At 37.4% G+C, this 6,574-nt stretch overlaps 1 long non-coding RNA gene across 2 annotated transcripts; it reads left to right on the top strand.

Annotated features, from left to right (window-relative positions):
- The first annotated feature begins 246 nt into the window (after positions 1 to 246).
- On the top strand, positions 247 to 6,291 carry LOC105378392 (uncharacterized). Of its 2 annotated transcripts, none has more exons than XR_946139.3 (3): positions 247 to 326; positions 1,190 to 1,262; positions 6,066 to 6,291. It is a non-coding gene; the product is annotated as an uncharacterized LOC105378392 (long non-coding RNA). The 2 variants fall into 2 exon arrangements; XR_946138.3 differs by lacking the exon at positions 247 to 326 and adding an exon at positions 361 to 596.
- Positions 6,292 to 6,574: the final 283 nt, after the last annotated feature.

The raw sequence follows: 6,574 nt of genomic DNA, 5'->3' as shown, positions 1-6,574 counted from the left end.
GGTTATAACATTCCTGTATTAGTATACGATGTACCGGAATATAACACATAAGTAAATAGAGGAATGAAGTCAGAGCCAAGCTTCTCATTATTGCAATGCATGTTTACAGATAAGCAAGAGGAGAAGCCTAGACTAATCCAAGTTGTTCATGAAGAAAGTCAAACTCTAAAACATTTAAAGAGGTTTATTCTGCGCCAAATATGAGTGACCATGGCTTGAGGCATAATATCAAGAGGTCCTGAGAACATTTACCCGAGGTGGTTGGGTACAGCTTGGTTCTACACATTTTGGGGAGGAGACATAAGACATCAGTCAATACATGTGAGGTATACATTGGCTCGATATAAAAAGGCTGGACATTTCAAAGTGGGGGTTTTCAGGTCATAGGTGAAGTCAAAGATTTCTTGATTGGCAGTTGGTTGAAGGAGTTCAGCTTAAGATAAGGAGGGATGTGGAAGCCAAGGTTCTCGCTGTGTAGATGGAGCCTTCAGGTAACAGGCTTCAGATATAATAGATGGTAAATGTATTTTGTCAGGTTTTAAAAGATGTTAGACTTTTAGTTAAATCTCTCCTGTATCGGGAAAAAACCTGGAAAGGTAAGGATATTCTTTACACACTGTAAATTTTCTCCACAGAAGAGAGCTTTGCAGCACCGTTTCACAATAATGTTAATGTTAATGCTAGTCAGTTGTACTGAACTCCAAAAGGAGGAGAGTATAATGAGACATGCCAAACTTCTTTCCTCCTTCTGTCATGACCTGAACTCATTTCTCAGGTTTCTTTGGGTACTCTTGGCTAGAAGGGGGGTCCATTCAGTTGGTTGGGAGGCTTAGAATTTTGTTTTTGGTTTACAAAGTGGTAATAGGTTAAAGTTACAAAGATCAGTATGAACTCATGTTTAACTTGTGGGGGCTATAGGCTGTTGGCCAAGTGTAACTAAACAGCATCTGGGCACAATTGTGAGCCAGTCTCAGGCTGCCAGGATGCTAAAGAATGCTGGATAGAAAACTGCATCCTTGAACACCTTGAATTTCTCCCCCTCAGATGTTTTATGAATCCATTCCCTTTGCCTAGAATGCTTCTCTCTACTCATGGGTTGCAAATGTAATATCCACTGCTAAACTCCAATTTTTGTTCTTTTGTGTTTCTTCCTAAATACTTAACCAAATATACTTTATTTATTTTCTAGATTTCCATACTACTGGCAAAGATCTCACTAATTAGCCCTCATATATTGACTTCTGTTTTCATTTTTCTTCTTTGTAAGTACATAGTTTTAATTCTCCTAACTAAGCAAATCTCATAGAAGGAAGAAAAGTTTGTGTTTATACATCTTTAGTTGTTCGCATGGCTTGTTCTATAACAGACATGAAAAGTTTTTGGAGAAGGTTATTTTAAATGTAACCTCAGTAGCTTAAACTTGTAGCTGTGTGTGAGGGATATTTCTATGAATCCAGGCATCATTACCTAAAAACAGAAATCTATAACCTATGAATTGCATATGTGGACAGCAACTCTGCCTTCCACACTTGCTCCAGTAAATATCATAACAGGGTGTGTTTTTAAAATCTCTGCCTGCTAAAATCTTATAGTGTAGAAGAGTGATCAATAGTTTTCACTGTATGACTTTTATCAAAATCTGTAATTTTGATTTTCTGGATGAGAGATGAATCATATGCCATAAGATGTCACAAATTGTCTTAATGTATAAATTCAGATAGCATCGAGAAAGAGACATTTTACTTGTTGCCCAGTGTCCCCAAAATCCGACAAATTAAGGACATGGCACGTTTACAGATTAAAGTTCTGACAAAACGGAAGGAGCAGTATGGGATGTATTTAGAACACACGTTTATACTTCCATCTATGTTCAAAAAAGAAAAAAGTAGGGCAAAGCCATGGCATTCAGGAACTGGAATGTGGAAATCAGCCTTCAATTAGAACGACTATATGAGACTTTTTTGTTGAAGTACACACAAAAAAGATCATATTTGCATTTGCAGCATGAAATGTTATTGAAACGAAACCAGATGTTACATTCATATTCAAAGCTGTGAAGTTTTCCTAGCGGTGACAGTGCATTAGCCAACAAAGTAAAATAAACAGTATGATAATGTGGGAATGTTCAGCTTGCTGTCAACAAAGGTGAAACATAATCTCAAAGAAAATCACCCAGAATAAGCAAACCAGGGAAGACTGTTATTGGTATTTAACTGAGGAAATCTAGATAGATTGAATATAGGTATGGCTCCAAGGAGAATTTTCCCTAAATTCAATCCAACCAAGATAATCTAAGTCGTGTTTTATTTTGTTTTCTGACACGAATGTTCAGAAACCTTTTTCAGTGGCCTGAGACTTTAACTTAGCCCTTAAGAACAAGTAAAATTAAAAAATGCATTTCATAAGCAGAGTTCAAGACATTAAAATACTTTGTTCATATACTGTACTTTATTGTTTACTAATATGCTATCTGAGTATACCTGGGGCAGGAGTCCAGTGGGGAAGATATGGACTTTGGGGTCAGTCCTTAGTCCAAATCATAGTCTAACATGTGATAGGAAAGTAAAACCAAGTTTCAGAGGTGTTCTTACCCTTAAAATGGAAATAAGAATTACCTTATAGAGGCCGTGCACGGTGGCTCATGCCTGTAATCCCAGCACTTTGGGAGGCCGAGACGGGTGGATCACCTGAGGTCGGGAGTTCGAGACCAGCCTAACCAACATGGCAAAACCCCGCCTCTACTAAAAATAGAAAAATTAGCTGGGCATGGTGGCAGGTGCCTGTAATCCCAGCTACTCAGGAGGCTTAGGCAGGAGAATCGCTTGAACCCAGGAAGCAGAGGTTGCAGTGAGCCGAGATTGCGCCATTGCACTCCAGCCTGAGCAACAAGAGCAAAACTCCATCTCAAAAAAAAAAAAAAAGGACCTCATAGAGTAAAATGAAAGTGTCTGAAAACGATGCCACATATAAAGAATGTCAAGCCAGATGCCTGGCACCCAAATGACAGTAAATGCTGTTTTTTTTAAAAAATTATTGTTTTCAGTAAAAAATTAGAGCCAAAAAAAATTGCAAGAGAAGTAACTTAGAAGGCAAAGAGATGTAAACACAAAACCCTTTCACTGTCCAGCAAGTTTCTGTGAGGGGTCCATGGTACCCTACTGGGAATGTCTCCTCTGAAACAAGGGCCCAAAGCTGTGTTATGGTGTTTTGTAAACTGAGGCCCCATTTTGTGTGTGTTGTATTTGGAAATATTTAGTGGCATTGCGCTACAAGATTAGACATTTATTAAACCAGTACTTTAATATTTAAGTTAAAATAAATCACCCTTATACATAAGGTTGGTACATAAATCTAGGGGAGCTTAGTGAGAAGCAAAGCTGAGGGAATTGTTATGCCGTACACAGAATTCCTCTCTACTCCTGGGGTTTAGCTATAGTGTCAGCCTCATCATGCCTGGCTCTTACTCCTGCCACTGTTAGCTAAAGTTGTTTCTCAGCAAACTCTTCAGTCTTTCATTCAAATATGTATTTATCTGGCATTCCCCTCCCTGCGTTCAAGTGATATGTAAGGGATTTATTTAAAATCTCTATTTTAATGATCCACACCAAGAATATGACAGTTAGAAAACTTCACGTAAATAACAACATGCTGTAACAATATGGAATGTCTAAAATGCCGTATGCATAAAAAATGACAATTTGCTAATAGGTAATATTTATTGGGTACTTACTAAGTGCTAGGCCCTATTCTAAGTGCTATATTTGTATTAAAATATTTTGTTTTTATAACAACCACATAAAGTAGGTATTTCACTTATTTCTATTCTGTAGCTACAGCATAGAGAAGGTAATGTACGTGCCATTAACTGAATTGTGTCACCTGAAAATTTAAATACTGAAGCTCTAAACCTCAATATGACTGTATTTGAAAGTAGGAAATAAGGCCTCTACAGAAGTAATTAAGGTTAAATGAGGTAGGTTAAATGAGGTCATAAGAGTGGGGCCCTGGGGTGCTAATACGATAGTATCAGTGGCCTGATAAGAAGAGGAAGACAGAGATCTTTCTCTGTGTGTACATGCCCCAAGGAACAGGGGAGCACACAGCAGAAGGTGACCGTCTGCAAGCCAGGAAGAGAGGACTCATCAGAAACTGAATTTGCTGGCACCTTGATCCTGGACTTTTCAGTCTTCAGAAGTATGAGAAAATAAATTTATGTTGTTTAAGCAACCCATTCTATGGTATTCCGTTATGGCAGCCCAAGCTGACTAACACAGTAAATGAAACCCAGGGAGTCTGACTCCAGAACCTGATGTCTTAACCACTGTGTGGTGCTCCAGTCATAGCATAACCCTTCAAAACACCATGGTAGAAAGCGTGTAAGTCACAGATATTCCATTTTTTCACCTTTCTTAGATGCCTTTTAACTTAGATAGGATCATATAACTACTTCTGGCAAATTGCCAGTAGGCAGAAATGTGGGACATTACCTCCAGGCTGAAGTACGGAAGAGGCTGGCACATCATCCTTCAGCAACATCTTACCAGTCCCATCAACTGTGAGGGCCACATGTTCCACATGGCGTGGCCACAAGAAGGCAGGTCTCTGCATCAGGGTCTTGAGTGGCTATGGTGGAGCTTAGACGTGTTCCTTCATATATACAGAGCATGTTAGACAGGGAACACAAAGGAGAGATAAAATGTTGAAAACTTTTTACCTCAGCATATCCTACCTTATCCTAAATAAGACACAGTACACTCTCAAAATTGATAAATTTTTAAAATAAAACAGCATGAGTTTTGTTTTATCTTTCTGTCTACCTATCAGCCAAGTGTATATCTACAAAATAGAATATACATTGCAAATATTCACAGAATATTATCTGATCATAATAAAATAAAATAAATACATAAATTCAAAAGAAGAATTTCATTGGCTCAAAAAAAAAAACTATTGCAAAACTAAAAACCAAAACTAACAAATTTAATCTCAATCACATTGCCTGTTAAAGTAAAGACAAATTGAATACAGGACTCTAGCCTATAGTATAAATAATCTATTCTGGATCTGTTTTCCAGATCTCTAATATTTTCTCACATATTTTCTATCCGTATTGTAAAAATTTTCATACATTTATATATTAAAATACTAATTTGATCTGACACATATTTACTTTCAATCTGTTATTTCATCCTTTTATGGATTTAAAAATTGTATATTTTGATATAAAATTTGATATATATTTTGTAAATTTTAGGAACTGTAATTTTTGCTTTTTGAACCAATTCAGTACTTACTTTTCTTTACAGAATATTATTGCATTTTGTGAATATAATACTCTTTGTAAATTTTCTGATGATACTAATTAGAAATATTTAAAATTCCTTTTGTCCTTATGGGAATTTCTTGTATCCTCCACTGTCAGGTGATTGTTCATTTTGGTCCTTCTCAGTTTTTTTTTTTTTTTTTTTTTTTGAGATGGAGTGGAGTCTCACTCTGTTGCCCAGTCTGGAATGCAGTAGCCAGATCTTGGCTCACTGCAAACTCCGCCTCCCAGGCTCACACCATTCTCCTGCCTCAGCCTCCCGAGTAGCTGGGACTACAGGTGCCCGCCACCATGCCTGGCAAATTTTTTGTATTTTTAGTAGAGATGGGGTTTCACCGTGTTAGCCAGGATGGTCTTGATTTCCTGACCTCGTGATCCACCAGCCTCGGCCTCCCAAAGTGCTGGGATTACAGGCTTGAGCCACTGCACCTGGCTGGTCCTTCTCTTTTATTAATGTTTTTCTTAAATATCAATTGATCCTTGACGAGTTTCTTCATTAATCACATATCATTTAATTTCTATCATCTAGAAATTTTTTGTTTTCCTTTGTGGTGTTCCGCAGATATCTTTTTCTGTTTTTGACACAGTTGTGTGTGTGGTTTTTTTTTTTCACATTAACTATTTTGTGATCCAGTGTGATTCTAGGAGAGAACATTAAACTTGTACGTTCACTTGACAATGCTGATCTAGAGTTCTGCTTTCAACTCCTTTAGGGTAAAATGAATCCTGCTTTGTATCATAGATTTATCCTCAATTGATTGGTGATTCCAGCCCTTTGGTCCAGCACTCAAGCCTGGATCACTCAGTCATCATCTTTATCCACTAACTGCTGGACTCTAATGAAAAGAAAGCTCTTACCTGCCCAACTTATTGCCTCCAAGTGTACCAAGATACGTTTCTCTCTGACATTGCCTGTACATTTGCCTGTAGAACTGAATAAATGCCTAAAAAATTAGTGCTAAATGGCAGCAACTAGAGTTTACTTTGAAGCTGTTTTATTATCCTTCATTGTGTATAATTCACTGAGAAAAATGACACCTGGATGGTGCCCTTTTCTTGTTTTATAAATATTCATTTCTTCCTGGTGATATAAAAAAGGTTGAAATGAAAGTTTCGGGTTTTCCTGGGGAAAAGAAAGAATGACAATTTTCGATTACTGTGCTGCTTATCACAAAAGTAGTTTCATTTGCCTGATAGCTTCATTGACTGGTGTCAAGATAATGCCAAGTAGAGTGTTTTGCTAGCTTAATG

Source organism: Homo sapiens, chromosome 10 (assembly GCF_000001405.40).
Source record: "Homo sapiens chromosome 10, GRCh38.p14 Primary Assembly".
Classification (NCBI taxonomy): domain Eukaryota; kingdom Metazoa; phylum Chordata; class Mammalia; order Primates; family Hominidae; genus Homo; species Homo sapiens.
This window is presented reverse-complemented; position numbering and strand designations above follow the sequence as displayed.